The following is a 23,333-nucleotide window of genomic DNA, read 5'->3' on the forward strand; positions in this document are numbered from 1 at the left end:
ACTGAATATTGAGACAGTTCAAGAATACTAGGGAAAAAAATTCTAATAATTGAAGTAAGGGTCATCTAAGGATAATATGCCACATATACAGACACAGTAATATTTTCAACTTAAAAAAAATTCAGTTATCAAAGCTGTACAGCAAACTATCCTAAGCTTTGCCTCTTCAGGCATTTGTTTTATAATCACTTCAAAGAAAAGTCAGTCACAAAATGCCACATTTTGTTTGATTCTATTTATATGAAATATCCCGGATAGGCAAATCTACAGAGACAGAAATTAGATCAGAGGTTGCCAGGATGAACGGTGGGGGAGACGAGCACACAGAGCGACTGCTAATGGGTATGGGGTTTCTTTTTGGGGAGAAGAAAGGGTTCTGAAATTAGCTAATGGTAATGGCTGCATAACTCTGAATATACTAAAAACCACTGAACTGTACACTTCAAAGGGTGAGGCTTATCATATAAAAGCTGTATCACAATAGTTTAAAAATGTTTGGGTATGTCAAGAAATAAACAATAGGATCATAGCTCAAAGATATGGGATATAAAATATATGGAACAAAACTGCTCAATAATCTATCTAGAATCACACAACACTTAAGCTTTACCCTGACTAAAATTGCAAGCCTGGTGTTTTATTGGTATTTCACATTTTTTACTTCTTCCTAAGTCAGCCAATAATTCCTCCTCCTTACTTAATATTTGACTATGAAGACCAAGCCATTTTGATTCTGCCTCCAATGGGCTTTCACATTTCATTCCTCCTTCCACTCCCATGACTACCACACCTATGTAAGTTCTCCTCACTTCACTCTAAGACAACAGCATGGCCCTCAACTACTGTCACACTCTTCTAGGCTCTGTGAGCACAATGTGTCTCATATTCTCTTCTGCTGTCACCAGATTTATTCGAAAACAGTTTCTTTACTCTTACTCCCATTTCTCAACCAGTTACATAGAAAGATGAATATCCAGGGGTAATAGTTTACTTACCTGAAAAAAAAAAATCTGTCACCAATCCACAGAACTGTTTGAGTACAAAATATTACATCCGCAATATTTCCTACAACTCTTCTACATGAATCCTACCCTCCTTGCGTTATAGCTCAAATTGGTTTCGTATACTCTGAATTCCTCATTCTCTTTCCTAGATACCTGATTGTGTTTACTCTTCACCTACGTAAATAATTTTCCTGCAGCCTCCACCAGCTGACCAAACCCCACTCACATTTCACTGCCCAGCTGAGATCCCACCTACTTCATGAAGAGCAACTCTTTGCAGCTTTAAACCTCAGAGAAATTAAGTCCATGCTTAGCTTTTCTTTTTCTTTTTTGTTCAGATGCAGTTTATCTTTGTCACCCAGGCTGGAGCGCAGTGGCACAATCTCAGCTCACTGCAATCTCTACCTCCCGAGTTCAAGCGATTCTCCTGACTCAGCCTCCTGAGTAGCTGGGATTACCAGTATGCACCACCACATCTGGCAATTTTTTTGTATTTTTGGTAGAGATGGGGTTTCACCATCTTGGCCAGGCTGGTCTTGAACCCCTGACCTCAAGTGATCCACCCGCCTCAGCTTCCCAAAGTGCTGGGATTATAGGTGTGTGCCACCGTGCCTGGCCCATGGTTAGCATATGATAATCCATGCGGAACTTATAGTTCTTAGTACTTTTAATCTCCTCTTATATAGCTGGCATTTCATATAATGAAAAACACTTTACTAGGAATCAGAAGATTTATTTAGGTAAGTCACAAGCTGACTTATTATTCAAATTATTCATCCAAATAATGAGGACCATAACACACTGTGGCAAAAAAGAATCAATGAAGAAACTATGTAACAGATTTTAAAACTGAAAATGGCATGATTCATAACCTCATGTATTTGTCTCGATTCTAGGTGGTATACTAAGATCATAAACTTACATTCTTGGGATTCTTACAACCAAATGTTGAAAAGCTATACTGGTCTATTTTATAATCACATTTTAAAATGTTTTCATACATTTATCCTGAATTTGCAGATTTTTATGCAAATCTTTTCTTTGATCATTTTTTTTTTTCTCAAATAAGATTCTGAACAAAAAATGACCTGTTTTCCTTTCCCTATGCTTATGGGGATATTGAGTCAACATACACAATTTTATAAACCAGCACATAAAACTAAAGCACAATACTTATGTCCTTTCTCCCCAATCAGGAAGGGCTTCATTAAAAAGACATTTTGAAATTCAACTATGACAAACAAAAGAACTATGGCTTGGTGGCTAGTTAAAGGCTGCTGTAGTGAGCAAGAGACACAAAGGTTAAACATTTACTATTTTTCAGTCTTGTGTTTATTTTGTATACGTAAGTATTTGGCTGGGTTACCTAACACTGAACTTCCAAAGCTGACCATTAGGTTGTATGCCAAGAGAAGTACTTTTTATAGCAATTTTACTGCCAAAACCAAAACAGCCTAGAAAAGATTTAAAGGTAACAAAATAGTACACAATTCTAAACAACTCTGCTTCACACCCAACCTGGGACTTCCACTCCCCGTAATAGTATATTTGTGATCAACTTTGTAACAAGCTGTCAAAGGGAGACCTCTGACATCTGCTCAGGAAGGAATCACTTCAGCATGTCCTGCTCTGTACCAGAAAACGCATGGGGATCACTCAGAACTCCAGATTTCCAACAGAGCAGCATTTCCCAGAGTAAGCCAGAAGACACCATCCTCTGAGATGTTGTCAGGAACACTAATAAACAAATTTGGGAAAAATAGAAAATGGCATTAAGGCTCCAAGAAGTCCTTTGGTAAAAGACATTTTGAAGCTGCCTTCCCCAAAACCTTGCAATCCCCACAAAACAAATATCTATTACCATACCACTATATTAGCACTCACAGAACATTTGGGGAGATATGGCAAAGATTAGGCTGCAGGCGTCAGGTAAGTAAACTCTTAAAACACAATATTGAAAAAAATAGAAATTTAAAAATTAAAACAGAAAAGCAAAAGATAAGTAAATAAATAAAAAATTTTAACAAACAACATTGGGCTGGGCAAAGTGGCTCAGACCCATAATCCTAATACTTTGTCAGGCTCAGCAGGGTGGATCGCTTTAGCCTGGGAGTTCGAGACCAACATGAGCAACATGGTGAAACCCTGTCTCTATCAAAAATACAAAAATTAGCTTGGTATGCTGGCATACGACTGCAGTCCCAGCTTCTCAGGAGGCTGAGGTGGCAGGATGGCTTGAGCCTGGGAGGCAGAGGTTGCAGTGAGCTGTGATTGCACCACTCACTCCAGCTTGGGGCAACAGAGAAAGACCCTGTCTCAATAAAATTAAGTAATTAAATAATAAAACCAATATTCCTTTACTGTGTGGGGAAACTCAAAATGAGCTCAGCACATCCACATGTAATACTAAGGTTTTTTTTTTTTAAACCCACACTTCTTGTTTCTCTGAACTTTTACACACGGATATCATGTCCAGACAACTATTCCGTAGTATCAGCACCACAGTTAATATGTATTCTGATTATGCAAAATGATTCTTAACAGGATCTTAGCCCCCAAAACACATGCATAAGTATGTAAAGCAAATACAACTAAAAATAACTGTAGCAACAAAGCTCTTCTGGAGAAAAGTTCTGAAGTCTGAAGTAGTCACTCATATTTTTACCCTAAATGCAACTATTACTATCTCAACCATAGAAATGATCAAAGTAAGGGCTGGAGATATTTAGATTTTAATCACCATAAGGTGGATTATGTCACGTAATGGAATTAGTCAGCTGAGTATTTGAAAATCCTCAAGTTACTTTAAATTGCTCATACTTTAAGGGTCTACAGAACATTTCATAACTAACCTAGCAAACTGTGACTTTTCCCCACTTCTGTAAGACTTCCAATCACAAAAAAGAAGCAATACAAATTTCAGTAAAACTGCATGACAATTACCATTTGATTCTACTACACTGCAACTATCACCTCTAGAAGTAATCAGCCAGCTCCATAGGTCCATGAGATTTCCCATGATTATTCCTAGAAGTACTAATTAGGATCATAGGTATGTGGGGGACCACTCTGTAATCATAACGTTCTCTAAACCTTCAATCACAATTTACATTTGAAAAATCTTTGGTTTTTATGATAAAAAAAGTATGTATGAATATATATATATATGTGTGTGTGTATGTGTAAATATGTGCGTGTGTGTGTATATATATGTGTATATATGCATATATATAACACTAAAATCTCTACCTATCAACAACATAATGCTTTATAACCAGTGGTTCCAGATGTAGGCCCCAGAACAACAGTATCAGTTTCACCTGGGAACTTCTTAAAAACGTAAATGCTCAGGCAACACCACAGACCTACTGAATCTGAAACCCTGGGACTAGCTCTCCAAATGATTCTGGTGCACACTATATTAAAAAAAAAAATGTAGCCCAGGCACAGCAGCTCATGCCTGTCATCCCAGCACCTTGGGAGAGCAAGGTGGGAGGATCACTTGAGCCCAGGAGTTCAAGAACAGCCAGAACAACATAGTGAGACCTCATCTCTACAAAAAAATTTTTTAAACTAAAAAAAAAAAAAAAAGCATTTCAAGTAATCACTTAATCACTTAAACTTATGCTCCTGAGAGAACAGGTAACACCACTCAAACAAATGGAGGATCAAATGGAAAGTTATCCTAAAAAGCAAATAAGCAAGTTTAATTAATTTTAAGAACATCGTTAATACTATATACTATTTAGAAGATTTTAAAAGAATCTATAAAAGAATATGTACATTTATTATCAGATAATGGGTGAGAGTCATAAAGGTAAAATTAGTACAGAAAAAATGAAATGAAAACCAAAGCAAATAAAAATGAAGTTAAAATCAGGCCCAAACAGAACAGTGTTATGGTAAACTTATGTAACATATGAAGGGGTTTCACTTCAATAGAACTATATAAAGGAACCATTGCAATAATGATAGAGTAGGTAACTTAGATCAATCCTCTCACTGAGAACTAGAAAGGTGGACAAAATGTAATGATTACAGGGCTGAGAAAAGGGAATACCAGAGAACAGGGTCTTCTTTTTTACACCTTGGGTTTTCTTCCAATGACAGCAGAGAAGAAGAGGTTAACAAGCTGAGCTAGAACTCACAGCCTCACAGAGCTCACAGGGAGATAAACATTGGAGCTCAGCATCCACCGAGGAGAGGCCCTGCTAAGTCTCCCACTCCTTAGGTTGGGAATCTGAAGAGCAAACTGCAAAATGCCCCAACAGGGAATGATGGCCAGCTTTAATCATCTCAATCCCTGATTGTTAATTTCCAAGCCCCTGGCAGGGGAAATGTAAATCCTCTCTGGAGAAGAATATCATCCAAGGCTTCAAATTAGCTCTACAATTTTTCCATATATAATGTCTATCACTAAAAATAGAAAGCCACATGAGACTTAAAGATGACATAACAGAAAACAAGAGAAGCAAACAACAGACACAAAACCACAAGGGATCGAGATAACAGAGTTAGCAGACACACTTCAAAATAACTGCCGAACATGAGCAAGGAAAGATGGGACAAGACTGAAAACCTGGCAGAGAAACGCAAATTATAAAATGAACCATATGAAATTCTGCAATTTAGAACTACCAAAACTGAAATTAATAACATAATGGATAAGCTTAACCACATCAGTAACCTAGCAGAAGACAGATTCAGTAAACTGCAAAAAGGTCAGAAAGACAAAAAGGTGGAAAATTGAGAAAATAAAAGACAACATATTGAAAAGTTTATCACATACGTAGAGCACTGGAAGAAAAACAAGAATGGGACAGAAGCAAGAGCTGAAGATATGGTTGTGGAGAATTTCCCAAAACTGATCAAAGACTTCACAAGATTTAACCACCATAAACACTTCAAGAGAAACAATGGAAGCTGGCATAAGAGAATGATATCTGCCAAGTGCTGAAAGAAGGAAACTGCCCATCTAGAGACTTACGCTCAATGAAGATACTCTTCAATGATGAAATAAAAAGCAAGGATTTTTTCTATCTGCAGACTCACACTAAAGGAAATACTAAAGGATATTTTCAGACAGGAGAAAGAGGATCCTCTACATCAAAACCTGGGGACTCTATTCCATAAGCTCTGTACCCTGGAACTCAGGAATCAAGATTTTACAGAAATAAAAAGAGTTCTTCAGGGAGGGGAAAATAAAGGTTGAGGGTGACTGGTAAAATTAAGTTTGAGTTACCTTAGTATATTTTAACTCAGAACCAGACTCTCAGGCTCTACAAGGATCTCATGAAGTTATCTGATTTCCCATTTGACATCTCAGCCTTCTAAGTTATTCTTAAAGATGAAGAACATTCTAGTTTTCAAAGACTACATCACCAGATGGGTCTAAATAGTTACAAGTCACTTCCTTACATTGAGTTGAAAATCACCTCTTTGTAATTTGACTTATTAGTTCTAGTTTTATGCCCTGCCTTCACCAAAAAAAATAAAAACTAATGCTTCCATATACATACTCTTTCAAATAGTTGAAGACAATCTATCATGAACCAGAACCCCCATGTTTTCCTCTCCAAATCCACAATTTCACCAGCTATCCTAGGACATGGAAAAGAATCTCTTCCCAATCCTGGCTATTATTCTCTAAATGAACCTAACCTTATCTAAGTAGACCTTTCTTAAAGTGCTACCTCAGAATTCAATTCGGTAATTCTGATGTTGCCTGTAACATCAGAAAACGACTTCCTTAAAAGTACAGCAAGTTGGATTTACCAAGTTGCTGACCAGGGCACATTCCCTCCTGCAGTCACTCCCATCTTTGTGTTATACTTTATCTCAAGTTCAATTTTGCTTATTATTCACGACTCTCAAGTTGTCACTGTGGACATCAGAGGCCATAAACATATTGTTCTGGCTCTTTCCTGTAAATCTTTCTGAGTCATACCTGCTAATCTCCAAAGTCTGTGAATCCCAATACTAATAACTTGGCAATTCAGTTTAAGGTCCTCTTCAGAAGGTCAGTTAGCTCAAGGCAATCACATTCTTCCCAGGCCTCTTAAGAAATACTCCAACCCCAGAAAAGGCCCTTCTGTCTGGTATCAGGAGCCATGGGCCACAAACACAAATCCAATAGCATTTCAGCCATTTACCTCCCAGATCATCCCCTCCCTGAAGTTCTAACTAGAGCAGGAAAAAATAATGAAAACACCACCTGCAGTCACAAATCCTCCAGTTTCCTGGCCAAGATTTCATATTCCCTTCAAGATACCTCCCAAAGAGGACATGACAAGGGAGGGGCACAGAGGGTGCTACAGGTACTGATAAGGTTCTATTTCTTTTTTATTTTTATTTTTTGAGATGGCGTTTCACTCCTCTCACCCAGGCTGGAGTGCAATGGTGCAATCTTGGCTCACTGCAACCTCTGCCTCCTAGGTTCAAGTGATTCTCCCACCTCAGCCTCCCAAGTAGCTGGGATTACAGGCACCTGCCACCACGCCTGGCTGATTTTTGTATTTTTAGTAGAGATGGGGCTTCGCCATGCTGGCTGGGCTGGTCTCAAACTCCTGTCCTCAGGTGATCCACCTGCCTCGGCCTCCCAAAGAGCTGGGATTATGGACGTGAGTGAGCCACCACGCCCAGCCAAAGGTTCTATTTCTGAAGTTTGGTGTTGCGCATATGTTCATATGATTTAATGTTTTTTTTAAAAAATGGTATCTTCCTGTTTAGTGTGTGTGTGTGTTTTTTTTGTTGTAGGCCCGTGTGCTTCATTCGTTCACCCATATGAATCCGTAAAGAAGTAGCCATTAGCAACTTCAGTCAATATACACTGGATTCATACTTCAGGAAGACAACTCAGTTGACAACCACAACAGTTTCTATGATAACAAAATTGAGAGAAAATACTAACATTAGGGTCATTTCAAGAAAGTTCAATCATAAGATATATCCCCAAGCAAAAATACACACATGAAAAAGCTAAGTAAGAAGCTTTTAGAAAACTACTACCATCCTTAAAGTACAACAAAGTATTCTTTTATGTCTGTGTGCTTCATCAAAATACTTCATATAGCCATAGATTTTAAAACATTACATCTTATCTAGATTCCATATTAGATCATTAACATTTTTTCTAGATTCCATTCTTATTCTTTTGTAACCTTTTAGTATCTTAAAAGTACTTTATTAAATATAACACATTCAGAAAAGTACACAAAGTATACCTTAAGGTAGACCTTAACAAGTTATTCTAAATTATTTGCCCATGTAACCACCAACCTGGTCCAGAAATATATTACAGCCAGTATCCAAGAAGCCCACAGATGTACCTTTCAGTTCACACCTCCCTACCTCCCACCTAGATGGACTCCTTACCCTACCCTGTGTGTAATCGCCTCTTTTTTCTTGATAGTTTTACTGCCCAAGTATGAATCCATAAAGAAGTGTTCCTCAGTTTTCTTTTATGTTCTATGGCTGTTTGGAGGGCAGCAGACCATTATAATAGGTCAGATTTTCTTTCACTCTGAGGACCAATTTTCACTCCACTGCAGGCGATATTGCCTCCGCTAAGAATGTATGCCCTAACCAACATTAGTTTTGCCTATTTTTGAACTCTATATAGAGGAAATTGTACAAAATAGGTTTTGGGGGTCTGGTCTCTTTTGCTTAACATAGTGTTCAAGATTCGCTCATCTTGTCCCACATGACTGTAAGCCATTTTATGAATACCACAATTCTCCATTTTATTGGAATGAACATTTGGGTTATTTTCTGTTTGGGGTTATTATAAACGATGCTGCTCTGAACATTCCTGTGTCTCCTGGCACATATGTACTCATTTCTTGTGGAGTATATATCCACGAGATTCCTGAACCATAGGGTATGAGTATCTTCCACTTTACCAAACTGTTTTCCAAAACACTTGTACAAATATATACCCCCATTCATAGGATATAGAGTCTCATAAAAATTTTCTTACCTTAAAACATAAGCAAAATGTCTCCTATCTCTTCTTTTTCTTTTAAGATCTGAAGATCACTGTGCAAAGAACTATCAGGGTCAACCTTGAGAATTCCAAAACAAAAAACAATTCAAACAAAAAGATTATTATTATTATTTGTATTAATTTTACTAACTCAAAAATGAACCAATCTGAAAGCTAAAATACAGCACCTAGGGTAATTTCCAGAAAGAGGAGACCTTAAGCTGCTTTATATCCCCAGGAAAACTAGAGGCCACTATAGCTTCCAGCTCCTTTAGAATAAATGTCCCAAAGAGATTATAATAGCCTAAATCTAATCGAATAAGGGGGTTCAGAGTTTGCAGTCATTCTAAAGGAAAACAGTCACATGTATATAATTTTCTCAAGAATTCAAAAAAAGTTTAATATGCTTTCCTAAACTTGTATTACTAGCCAAGCTGTTCAAGGAGAAAAATTTGCCATGGACAGAGCTGTCAAAAAAGTTAAATCACCAAAAAATTGGTATTTTTCTACAACTGTCCTATATATACATATATAAATATGTATCCCACCTCCCACTCTCCCTTTTTTTTGTTTTATGACACAGGGTGTCTCACTCTGTCACCCAGGCTGGAATATAATGGTGCAATCACGGCTCATTGCAGCCTTGACTTTTCCAAGCTCAAAAGATCTTCCTGCCTCAGTCTCCTACCACCCTAGTAGCTGGGACTATAAGTGTACTCCACCTATATATTTTAAAAGTAATAACATAACTACCTCCACAATAAGAGTTGATTATGTTGCTTTCAAAACTGGGGGAAAAAATCACAAAATCAACTTGGCAATCATTCTCTGTATATTGAAATGTATTATTTGTATTAAATTATCAAGCAATATTGCTCAAGCTTTTTGCCAGAAGATAAAAATCATGCAAATATTCACTCTATCAGGAAGATGGCAAAATAAAATTCCAATGGACCTATAAAAACAATTTCTTTAATTCCAAAAAACAAGCAAACTCATCCTATCTTACTCCCTACATCTTTTGGAACTTGATTACATTTGAGTTTCACAAAATAAAGCTAGTAAACATTTCCATTTCTGTCCAGTTTTAAGAAACGACATTTATAATCTGACAACAGAAAAGAACAAAAGAATGATAAGAAGAGCAGGGATTTGGAGATCCTTACCTGTCTTATAACTCTGTGATCTGTATAAGTCCCTGAACTCTTTCTTAAGTCTATCTGAAGCTTGCACTGACCCAGACACTGCAGCCTGAAACACAAAAGCTGCTGTTTACCAGGGTCTACTGAGCCAACTAATTTAAAGATTTAAGGTATTTCAACCTGCTCTAAAAGATTACAGTAGCCAGGCACGGTGGCTCACACCTGTAATCCCAGCACTTTGGGAGGTTGAGGGGCGCGGATCATTTGAGGCCAAGAGTTTGAAACCAGCCTGGCCATCAGGATGAAACCCCATCTCCACTAAAAAAATACAAAAGTTGGCCGGGCATGGTTGCACGTGCCTGTAGTCCCAGCTACTGGAGAAGCTGAGGCAAGATAATTACTTGAACCTGGGAGGTGGAGATAGTAATGAGTTGAGATGGTGCCACTGCACTCTGGCCTGGGCCACAGAGCGAGACTCCATCTCAAAAGAAAAAAAAAGAAAAGAAAAAGATTACAACAAAAATGGATCACCATTCAACAATTTAAGAAGTAAAAGAAAAAAGTCCAATTAAATGAAGCATTATGAAGTTTCAAGGGAATATAAAACTAGACACAAGTCTGGTTCATTTCCATTTTCCTATCACCTAAAAAACTCTAGCCAACATGTTCATACCACCATGGACTCCACGATAGCACAGAATTCAGTATGAGTCTATTTCAAACCCCAGCAATATTTGAAAATACTCAAGGTGACACAATATTAAGTAAAATAGGCTTCCATTCATAAGACTACAAGCAAGAATATTACACAGATGGTCTAGTTCACACATGAAGACACTGAGAACCATGTGTGCCTACATGCAACTGGTTTCAGTTTTTCAGTGCAGGGACTTCTCTAAAGATGAAAACACATCGATATCTTATCCTAAGACTAAATAAAAATGGAACTACTTTTTGGTCATGTGAAACTAAAGCTTTTAAAGACTGCACTAGACTTTGAAGGGGAAAAAAAATCAAGTTTATAAAAATATTACCTCCTAGCTATATAATCCTGAACTAATTTCATATCTATAAAATATGAGTTTTTCCTATCTCTAAAGTATAAACAGCACCTATTTCACACAGTGGCTATGATGACTAAATGAAAAGATCTATAAAGTATTAAGTATAAAGTATTTAGCATAGTATCTGTCATACAAAATTATTCAATAATTTTTACTTGTTTTGAAGATAACTCAAAGTGGACTTGATCACAAGACACAGAAAGTACAGTAACATTAATTCAAATGCTACAATCTTAGTTTTTTAAATAATCAAGATATGGGGATTAACTAAATTTCTTTGCTGTATGAAAAATTACCAATTAAATTAATATACAAATAAGATTGAAGGGGGGAGAGTTATCTATCTGATTGCAACACTTGACATCTGCTTGCCTAACAATTCATTCCCTGTTTTGGAGAACCTGTGCCCAAGACAAAGTAACTGGTCCTCGGATATTGTGGAGTTGGTAAATAGCTCTAATACAAGGCAGGAAGCAGTAAGTGTTCAGACAATCATTTGATGTTTCCCTGCTCTGTCTAAGCATTTTATGTGTAACATGCATCATTTTAATTTATTTTTCATAGCAACCATCCAAAAGATATGTACTGTCTATCCATATTTTAGAGTTGCGCAAAGTGAAACCATAAAAGGTGTGTTTGTCACCAAACTCTGTGTTCCTTTCCCATCCTGCCGCTTCACATAAAAGAGATGTTAAGTCAAAAGAGAAACCCTACTTTTGGTTTGGTCAGAGCAGGATGGATCAAAGTCAGCTTCATGAAGGAGAAATAATTTGAGTTGTGTTTTGTAGGAGAGAATGAACTTGAATATACAGATGCCACAGAAGGAAGGTAAGCAGAGAACACAGCATAGACAAGCTGGAAAGGGGCATATACAGGGATCAGCAGGTGGTTCCAGGATGTGAAGAGCAGATCAACAGGGTAAAAAGTGGCTATTCATGGATGAGAAAGATAACCTTGGGCAACAAAGCATATGAGTGTGGCTAGGCATGGTGGCTCATGTCTGTAATCCCAGCACTTGGGCAGGCCAAGGTAGTAGGACTGCTTGAACTCAGGTGTTCAAGACCAGCATGGTCAACATAGTGAGGCCTCATCTCTACTAAAAATCAAAAAAATTAGCCTGGTGTGGTGGGACATGACTATAGTCTGAGACACTTGGGAGGCTGAGGTAGGAGGACCACTGGAGCCTGGGAGATAAAGGCTACAGTGAACTATGATTGTGCCACTGCACACTAGCCCAGGTGACAGAGCAAGACCCTATCTCAAAACCAATAAACATATGACTGAATCCACCACTAAGGCAGGAATGGAGGAGGAGAGCAGCTGAGATCAGCATGTTCATGAATTTCCTGGTATTAACTATGATTACTTCACCAAAAAGTACAGATATTTATACACACTTACACATTTAAATGGCCTTGCCTTTCAGTCTTCCTAATTTTCTCTAATATTGCCCAGTTTTCTTTTTCAGTTCCTTCATCCTCCAACTTCTTCTCACTAGTAGGCTCTTCTTTCATCTCACAGTGATCTAAGTCTTCTATATCCTGCAAAAAGAAGAAAAATATTAGCCGATTCAACCCACTTTCCTTCAGCAGTTTCTTATGCCAAAACTTAAATTATTCTTGACTCGGTGGGGGACAGGAAACAGAATATATCTATCCTATGGGGAGAGAGAAAAAGCCCCCACATTCCATTCAAGAGGCTCCCACCTTTTATATCCTGTATTTTATTTAAAAGCTAGACTCTGGGGAAAGCAGATTTAAAAGCTTTACAAAGTCACAACTATTATGAAATAAGCCATCATTTATTTATTTACTTCTTTAATTTATTTTATTTTTTTTTTGTACGATAGAGTCTCAGTCTGTCATTTAGGCAGGAGTATAGTGGGGCAATCTCTGCTCACTGCAACCTCTGCCTCCCAGGTTCAAGTGATTCTCATGCCTCAGTCTCCTGAGTAGCTGGGATTACAGACGTACACCGCCACACCCAGCTAATTTCTTTGTATGTTTAATAGAGACAGGGTTTCAACATGTTGGCCAGGCTGGTCTCAAACTTATGACGTCAAGTGATCTGCCCACCTCAGCCTCCCAAAGTGCTGGGATTACTGGCATCAGACACCACGCCCAGCCAAGCCATCTTTTAAATCTCCTCTTAAGAGGAACCTTTGAAACAGTTTAGCAGCAGGTGTCAAGAACCTTAAGTGTTCATAGTTTGTTCCAGACACTCGACCTCTAGAACTGTATTACAAGAAACTAGTCTAAGAGGTAAACACAAATTTAGGCATAAGGATACCTATTTCAACCTTGCAACCACAAAAACAAACACAAAATCTGCATGTGAAAAAATAGCAAAACAGTTAACTCAATTCCATGAACTATTAAGAAGCCACTGAAATATCAACACGGCATAATTTCTCCTGTATCGAAAAACTTTGAAATGAAAAATGGATTACACAAAGGAATAGAAAGAATTTAAATTATGCTGAAATAAGCACAGAAAAAGACCAGAACAACTTACATTGAAATGTTAATTTCAATTAATTTTAGTTGTTATCTCTGGAGACATTTGGTGCTTTCCCCTAATTTCCAAGTTTATGGTTTTATGTAGTAAGCACCTATTGATGCTAATAACTTAAAAATAAGTTAGAAAAAGAATTTGATGTCAGGTGCTCAGGAGGCTGAAATAGAAGCATTGTTTGGGCCCGGGAGTTCGAGGCTGCAGTAAGCTATGATCATGCCACTGCACTCCACCCTGGGTGACAGCGACCCTATCTCAAAAACTAATAATAATTTCAAAAGAATTTGAATAATACCCCACAGAATAACATCTTTATTCACATCATTCTGCTCCCTCCCTTCCCATACTATCTGTTCTTACATATATACAAACATATGCAGAATTGTTTAAATCCTAACTTTTTTCAATTACCTTATATTTCTACTTCAATTGCCAAAATCTCTAAAGGGGTAGTTTATATTTATCTCGATTTTTTTTCCCAAGCCAGCTAATTCACCGACTTCTAGACCAGACTACCGACTACCTTCACTCAAACTCTGCCCATGAGTCTGTACTTCATGGAGCTCCCTTCTCCCTGTGTGCACCTTTCAGCCCTGATCTTCTATCCACATTTGTTTTCCCCACAATGCTCACAAATGCCTTTGGCCTGTATTTCCACCTGTACCTTCAACCTCAGTCATGTTCCCATCCACAAAACTTCTCCACCTAAGTATTAATCAGCACATCCCAAACAGAATTCAACATATCTTTCTAAAACAATATTCTCAGCACACGATTCCCTGCTTAAGGCCTTCTTATCAACAAACACACCAAATAGAAACATGCCTGTCTCAAATTCAAGACTTCTGTCCATCTGTCTTTTCTGGACAATCTTGCTTTCCATGACTTCAACACATCAACCTTCCTTCTCAAAAGAAAAGCATCCAGTGCACCCAAACACACCATGTCCAAAGTTGCTCTGGGCCTGTTCCCACATTATTTTAGGAGCCTAGAATATCTGCTTTTCACCTGTCCTAATCTGACAACTCCAAAGTCCAGTCTCCTACCTTTCTAGATTTCCCTCAAAGTTGCGGTCCCTTGTTTTTTATCTTGTGAAGGGAAAATGAAAGGGTTCATGAACTTTAGTACAATGGCTGCCTGACCTATGGAAAAGGTTTAATGTTTTCATGCAGTTTATTCCACCTAAGCTAAACTGCATAAAAACATTAAAACAGACTTTCATTCTAATTGGACAATTTTAAGAAGTATTTTACTCCCAGACTCATAAAACAAGCCTACAGCCAGGCACAGTGGCACACACCTGTAATCCCAGCACTTTGGGAGGCTGAGGTGGTGGATCACTTGAGGTCAGGAGTTCAAGACCAGCCTGGGCAACAGAGTGAGACTCAAACGCTAAAATAAAAAATAAAAATAAAATAAAATAAAATAAAATAAAATAAAAATTAGCTGGACGTGGGGCACCGGCCTGTAGTCCCAGCTACTCAGGAGGATCGCTTGAACCCAGGAGTTCAAGGTTACAGTGAGCCATGCCGGCGCTACTGCACTCCAGCCTGGGTGACAGTGAAACCCTGTCTCAAAAAACAAACAAAAGCAAGCCTACAACACTACTTTTTTAGTTCTGAAGCACTCTAAAGTACATTTTAGATTAATAATTTCCAAACCAAGAAAATGAAAGCCTAAATTAATTATAAGACCTCAAACAGAAAAAAATCTTTTAAAACAATCAATACCATGGAATTCACATACATTCTATTTGGTCAATGCAGAGACATAGATCTTTGTTCTGAAGTTCAAATTTAAATGCAAGGCTTCAGAGCCAGAAAACATCTAAAATTATACCCATGACTGACAACTGGCCTAGGCTCAATGTCTTTGGAATTTGCTCTACTAAATTTGCTACTGTTTGAATGTATTCCCTCCAAAATTCAACTGTTGCCAATGTGATGATATTAAGAGGTAGGACTTTTAAGAGGTGATTAGGCCAAGAGGGCTCCTTTCTCCTTCATGGGATTAAGGCCCTTATGAATGAGGCTTCACACATTGGACCAGCTTGCTCTCCTGCCCTTCTGCCTGCTACCATGTGAGGATAAAACAAGAAGGTCCTGAGACACCAAATGTTGATATTTTCATCTTGGATTTCCCAGACTCCAGAACTGTCAGAAAATAAATGACTGCTCTTCATAAATTACTCACTCTCTGTTATTCTGTCACAATACTATAAAACAGACTAAGACAAATTTCTTTGAATGATTTTTCAGCAAGAGACAGTTTCACTACTTCTGACAGGTAGTCTCTAAAATATTCTGAAATTCTCCTTTTATGCAAACATAAAATTTTTTAAACTCAGTAGTTTCTCTTCCAAAAAATAACCAAATACAGGTTAAGTACTGATTAGTATTAAATATAATTTTAGTGTTAAAACTTAAGAGCTTTTGTTTTCCAGAAAATAAAATCCAAGAATTCAGATAAAACAATTTGCTCAAAGGCATATCATGAGTTAGAGGTAAAGCCAGAATTTATAAATTACATTCCATTCCAAATACGATGTGCTTTCAATTATTCCATATTAATAGTTCTTTATAAAGGAGATTAGAGAATTACTCAAATGTCCAAAACAGAAGATATTTATGATATATATATATATATATTTTTTGAGACAGAGTCTTGCTCGTCACTCAGGCAGGAGTGCAGTGGCACGACCTTGGCTCACTGCAACCTCCACCTCCCGGATTCAAGCAATTCTCCTGCCTCAGCCTCCTGAGTAGCTGAGATTACATGTGCCTACCACCATGCCCGGCTAATTTTTGTACTTTTAGTAGAGACAGAGTTTCGCCATGTTGGCCAGGCTGGTCTCAAACTCCTGTCCTCAGGTGATCCACCCGCCATGGCCTCCCATAGTGCTGGGGTTACAGGCATGAGTCACCTCACCTGGCCAAAATGTTATTCTTATATAAAATACCCACTTCATCCATCTCTTCTTCTTCCTCTTCTTTTGAAGTCACTTCTTCTGTTGTCCCATTCTGAAATAGAGAAAGAATCTGCCAGAACTACACAGAACAAATATGCACCTTAGAAGACTGGTGTCATAGCTTTAGTGACAAACTCCCAACCATCTGTCACTGCAGTCCCACTACCAGAGAGCTTATTAAAGTTAAAATGTGCATTTTTAAATCCAACTTTGATTTGACAAACAACAGTTCTCAGCTTTTAAAAATGAAACAATTTTGAACAATTCAACTTAATGAATGCCTTAGGAATAAAGAAAAGCAATCAGTCAAATATAAAGCAAAACTGAAAAAAATTTTAAAACATAATCTAATTTAAAATAAGAAAACATTTTATTTGTACGGCTATGTGCATAAGATCAAAGGATTATTTTGTTTAAAATAAATACACCAAACTATCAATTCCTCAAAACAGCTACATTTTTAACTTTGAAAAGCCTGAATCATTACATAAATTCAATTTCCTTACATTTTAAGAGGTCAGATGTGTTACTTATAATAGACACTTCCCAAAACTAAGAGTATGAATTGATTACCACCTCACTATAAAGCAAATTGTCTTTTTAAAAACATGTAATTTACTATCAAATATCTCTCTACAAGACACAATTTACCAATTAACACAAATTACAATTATCAAGTTCAGAAATTAATCTAATGAATTTTTAGGAGGGGCCTTCGTACCCAGTTTGGGCAAAGGTCAAAAGGCAAGCTTCCTGGCCAGGACACAGTATATAAATACATCTTTAACCATAAAGGCCAGTTCAGGTTAGAACCCAGAATATGTAAAAGATCAAGAAACTAGGATCCAGAAATGAAGACCAACAAAGGTCTCAGCAGTATCTAAGCAGCAGCTTCCAAAATGTAATTCACCCCTTCTTCATTTCCCTAAATTCTTATATTCCAAAGCCAATTATTCTGGGTATCTAAAGAATATATACCTAGCCTCAAAGTCCCAAAGAATTTGGTTGCATCAGTGGTTGAAAGAGCATTTTTGCAGAAGAATCTGTTTTGCAAAAGCTCTCTGAGGTGATTCTCACATGCATCTGGGTCTGTCACCACTAGCCCAGTTACTAGCCTTAATTTTACACGAGATAGCTGAGCCCCTACCCCATCAAAAAGGGGAAGTAATTTAATCAAAACAAAAAGTGAGTTAGGGCTGTGAAATCCTAAGATTAATTTCATTTCAAGATGTGACCTGGTCCTCTTTCTAAAACCCCACTGAAATGACAGAACTTTATAAAAGAGAGTAAGTCGGCTGCAGCAGCAGCAAAACAACAAATACAAAAAGAATACCCTTAGTGAACCAAAACTATAAGGACATGCTAGAAGATACAAAGCAGATGAAATCAGACTGCTGGGCGCGAGAAAGCCACAAACACAATCCAAATAATGGAGGGGCCACTTCTGTTTGAAGGATCAAACATTCTTCACTGTACTGTCCCAACTATAGTTGGTAAGGATCACTCTGGTAATAGGAAGCCTGTCTTGATGGTCTCTCACTATCAGTGTCAAAACCAGAGAGAAAAGACAGAATGCTTTTTCAATGTAACTCAATGCAGCATCAAAATCTTATAACAGGCTCTGCCTCTTCCTTTAAGCTCAAAATCTGGAAAGCTCACCAACCAGCACCTCCCCACCCTCATGCCACAGGAAGAGCACAGGTCTGCCAACAAGGAGGGGGAGGCCACAGCAGAAAAGAGTGACAATTCTGAAGACACTCATAACAACTCATACTGATCAAAGGTATACCTCACCTATAAATGAACAGATAACCATGTATCATCAGAGAGTTGAAGAAAATTAGCAACCTGAAAGGAAGGTGCCAAGTCAAAGAAGCACGAATGACCTGAAGCACTGCTAATGAAGGAAATAAGCAGAATTTTAAAACCTAATTGGAATCTTTAGCAGTAATTGAGAAGATACTGTATCCACAAAATACAAAACAGATTACTATGCAAAAGACAATTCTAGGAGGTAAAAATAAGACCTCTAAACCAAAAAAGAAAACAAAACAAAACACCAGTTGCAGAAGGGCCAGGACACAATGGACATGACTCAGCAAAACATTAAGGTGGCTCACATCTGTAATCCCAGCACTTTGAGAGATCAAGGCAGGCAGATCACAAGGTCAGCAGATCGAGACCATCCTGGCTAACATGGTGAAACCCTATCTCTACTAATAATACAAAATTTAGCTGGGCATGGTGGTACATGCCTGTAGTCCCAGCTACTCAGGAGGCTGAGGCAGGAGTATCATTTGAACCTGAGAGGTGAAGGTTGCAGTGATCCAAGATAGCACCACTGCACTCCAGCCTGGGTGACAGAGTGAGACTCTGTTTCAAAAAAAAAAAAAAAAGTAAAACCCCCACACTTTACAGTTACACAGAAAATCATACTAACTATCAGAAAGAACTAAGAATCAGATAGGCATCAGACTTTTCATCTACAACAATATCAGAACATAAAAGTATAAAGACCTGGAAAGAAACTCAATTATGATCTCAGAATTCTATATCTAGCTCCCTCAAGACAGGAAGCATATCTGTGTATGTTTGCCTCTGGATTCTCCACACCGATATGGATGGAGTACTTTATACAGAGTCAAATATTTGTTGAACAAATGATAACAGACAGCAAGTGCACAGAACACACTCCATACACATCCCCACAAACCCTTTCTAGGAAAAAAAAAACCCAGGATATTATTCAGGGATATACTTGAGGGGCAGGGAGCAGGAGACATAATACAAGAAGAGCAATAAGCAAAGGCAACAGTAACACCAATAGTGAAGTCTAAATGATTGCTGAAAATCTCACTGAAAGGTCACAGGCCATATTCTCTGACCATATTGATGCACTAAAAATACCTCAAAAGCCACCTGAAAATGCTTTTTAAATTTTTTTGTTCTAGATAACTCTTGGGTAAAAGAAGAAATTGATCCTCATGCCTCAGTCATCCAACTCCTAAGTATGAGCCCCAGAGAAATGCTGGCACAAGGGTACCATGAAATACAGACAAGAATGACCATAGCAGCAATCGCTGTTCCTAATAACACTGGAAACCACCCACATGTCTGTATCTAGTCAAGGGGATAAATGGTATGGTGTATTCAAACAATGGAGTAAATACAGCAATGCAAAAGAACTATAGCTACACACAATAGGAACAAATTTCACACACAACGTTGAGCACAACAAAGATATGAAAAAATACATATACTATGATTTTCAAAAGCCCAAATAATAGGCAACACTACACTGTATTGTTGAAGGATGCATATATGAGTGATAACACTAGAGAAACATAAGGCAAGATGAGCGTACAGAGGCATGGTGATCAGGAAGCAGCCTGCAGAAGGTTTCTGTAGTGCAAGCAATGTGCCTTCTCTTCACCTTGGTGCTGGCTAGGTATTAGTTCCCAAGTACTCGCTCTAACTATATGTTACACTAAGCTTATGTTTTACATAATTTCAATACATGTCTTTTTTTTTTTTTTTTTTTTTTTGAGGTGGAATTTCACTCTTGTTGCCCAGGCTGGAGTGCAGTGGCGTGATCTCAGCTCACTGCAACCTCTGTCTCCTGGGTTCAAGCGATTCTCCTGCCTCAGCCTCCCAAGTAGCTGGGATTACAGGCATGCACCACCATGCCCAGCTAATTTTTGTACTTTTAGTAGAGACGGGCTCTCTCCATGTTGATCAGGCTGGTCTCGAACTCCCAACCTCAGGTCATCCACCTGCCTTGGCCTCCCAAAGTGCTGGGATTACAGGCATAAGCCACCATGCCAGGCAAATAAAAAGTTTTAATAGTAAGAGCAATGTGAACAGAGGATGCAATAAAATGACTTGGAAAATACAAACTATTTAGAAAATAGATTTTAAAACTTGTGCAATGAAGTCAAACAGCACCCAAAGAAAATGTATACCCTTACATGTTTGTTTAAAAAGCAGGTTAAATTACATTGATCCACTAAACTAGAAAAAGCAAAATAAACAAAAAGGGGAAATAATTAAGACATAAGGAAAATGTGAAAACAACCCACTAAATTTAAAAAATAAAACTAAAGGAGGATTCTTTCAAAAGCCTAAGATAATAAAACAGTCACGCCTCTGATAAGTGATCAAGATAAAGAAAACTTTGAAGACAAAAGGGCATATAGCCACATGTGAATATGATGCAAAAAGTGAAAACTTTACACATCTTTACAACACCTTAGAAGTATGGATGAAGTGTTCATTTCTTTAAAGAATCTACACTTACGAAAACTAACTGAAGAAACGGAAAATCTGGAGACCAATACGCAGAAGAAGGAAAAAGACAAAGACTCATCCTCCAAATTGGACATTTATTTAAACCAGGGTTTGTCAGCCTCAGCAATACTGATATCTTGGGCCAGACAATTCTTTGTGAGGGTTCTCCTGGTGTGTTGTGGGACATTTAGTAACATCCCCTCTACCCACAGAATGCCAATAAGACCTCCCGACCGTGACCAGTTGTGACCACAAAAATGTCTCCAGATATTTCCAAATGTCCCATGGGAGGCAAAATATTCCTGCAGTTGAAAATTACTGTGTAAACTAGATCTACATCCTAGGTCTTAGAAAAAAGATGTAAAGCTTCCCAAGTTAGCCCTGCATGCCCTTGATACTGAAATGAAATAAGAGCCTTAAAAGAAACAAACAAAACTATAATCTTATTTTATACAGAAGTAAAAATGCAAAAATAAAATATTAACATAGCCATTCTAACAGTGTTTATTATAGGAATGCAAGGATGATTCAACATTAGGAAAATCTCATCAGGTAATTCACAAATTATATTTCACCATAGAATTGTAGGCACAATCATGAAAAACAAGGTAGCTCTATATGCATTAAGTCCATGTGATATTCAGTGAAAAACACAAGTTGCAGATGTCTTACAGAAAAAAAACTGAACACTGAACACATATTTCCACCATCTGCTCTTTGTCCTGAGGCTCCACTAGAAATACAGTGAAGAATAAACATTATATAAACACACAATTACAAAAAAAAGAAATGGGGTTACCCACAGAAGAGAATTCACCTCCATTAGAAAATGACAGTAAATGGAAAATGGTTAATTAATGGAGCAAGCAAACAAAAGTGGAGGTCAGGGGGATACCAATAAGAAGGAAGCTAATTTGTCCCACAGCAACCTGGAAAGGTTCTAGACTCAGACACCAGGTACCCCCGAGAGTCGACTGATAGGCAAGACTGAAAACAGACATCAATCAAAAGCCTATATAGAGAACATTTTCCAGGCCCTGAAACACACTGCTCTCCTCCATCTCCTTAAGCAGAATCCAAGCAAACATATCTACCTCAGACAAGAGAATGTAGATTTCACCTCCAGAGAAATGGAGTAGTTCCAGCCATCATTTATGATTGCACCGGGAGATAAGATAGAGGGGTAGAGGATGACAATTAGGAATCAGCATATGTTCCCCCCTAAAAGCTATCAGTTGCCAAGTCTTGGCCATGAAGAACTCCCAATCAATTTTTTATTTTTAATTTTTATTTAATTTAATTTATTTATTTATTTATTTATTTATTTATTTATTTATTTGAGAAAGGATCTTGCTCTTTCACCCAGGCTGGAATGCAGGAATGCAGCAGCATGATCACAACTCACTTTAGCCTCAACATCCTGGGCTCAAGCGATCCTCCTGCCTCAGCCTCCCAAGTAGTTGGGACTACAGGTCACCACACCTGGCTATTTTTTTTAATTTATTTTTTTAAAGATGGGGTCTCACAATATTGCCCAAACTAGTCTTGAGCTCCTGGGCTCAAGTGATCCTCTCATGTCAGTCTCCCAAAGCACTGAGATTGTAGGTATGAGCCACCACTCCCAGCCTCCCAGTCTTTTAGTACCTCTCTCAAATATGAATGAACAAAAAAGAGAATTAAAAAACAAAGAGTACATGCCAGGCACAGTGGCTCACGTCTTTAATCCCAGCACTTTGGGAGGCCAAGGTGGACAGATCACATGAGGTCAGGAATTCGAAACCAGCCTGACCAACATGGAGAAACCCCTTCTCTACTAAAAATACAAAAATTAGCCAGGCATGGTGGCACATGCCTGTAATCCCAGCTACTCAGGAGGCTGAGGCAGGAGAATCGCTTGACCCCAGGAGGCAAAGGTTGTGGTGAGCCAAGATCACACCATTGCACTCTATCCTGGGCAACAAGTGTGAAACTCCGTCTCAAAAAAGACTACAAATGATAAGCAACATAGAATAGATACTTAAGGAAAGGTTTTAAGAAGAAAAATAAGACCAAAATGAACTAAGAAAAAAATTTATTAAAGAACAAAGAGATGCTAGGGTGAAGACAAAAGAGTATCAAAATCACTTCATAAAGACACTTGTGAATATATTACAAGAATAAAACAAAAATAGAATATGAATAAGGAATAATCAGAGAAGAAAAAGTTCTTAGAACTCAGGGTTCATCTTGGGAGTTGGTCCCCAATGAGCCATACCTCCTGTTATCATGTTCTTGGACAGGCCCATCCCACAGTGAATCTGGGTTGGCCTCAAGACTCACTTTAACCTATAGAATTTGGTAGAAATGACACTGGACCTGTTCCAGGTCTAA

The 23,333-nt window shown here is 38.0% G+C and overlaps 1 pseudogene across 1 annotated transcript in view; it reads right to left on the minus strand.

Moving 5' to 3' along the window:
• UBE2Q2P1 (UBE2Q2 pseudogene 1) overlaps positions 1-23,333 on the minus strand; it is a 43,600-nt pseudogene that overhangs the window by 2,354 nt on the left and 17,913 nt on the right. The window contains exons 3-5 of the transcript NR_003661.2: positions 16,672-16,728; positions 12,596-12,735; positions 8,983-9,067 (exon numbers count right to left, since the gene is read on the minus strand). The product of NR_003661.2 is annotated as a UBE2Q2 pseudogene 1 (transcript). The remainder of the gene's footprint in view (positions 1-8,982; positions 9,068-12,595; positions 12,736-16,671; positions 16,729-23,333) is intronic.

The sequence above is a fragment of the Homo sapiens genome, chromosome 15, assembly GCF_000001405.40.
Source record: "Homo sapiens chromosome 15, GRCh38.p14 Primary Assembly".
NCBI lineage: Eukaryota > Metazoa > Chordata > Mammalia > Primates > Hominidae > Homo > Homo sapiens.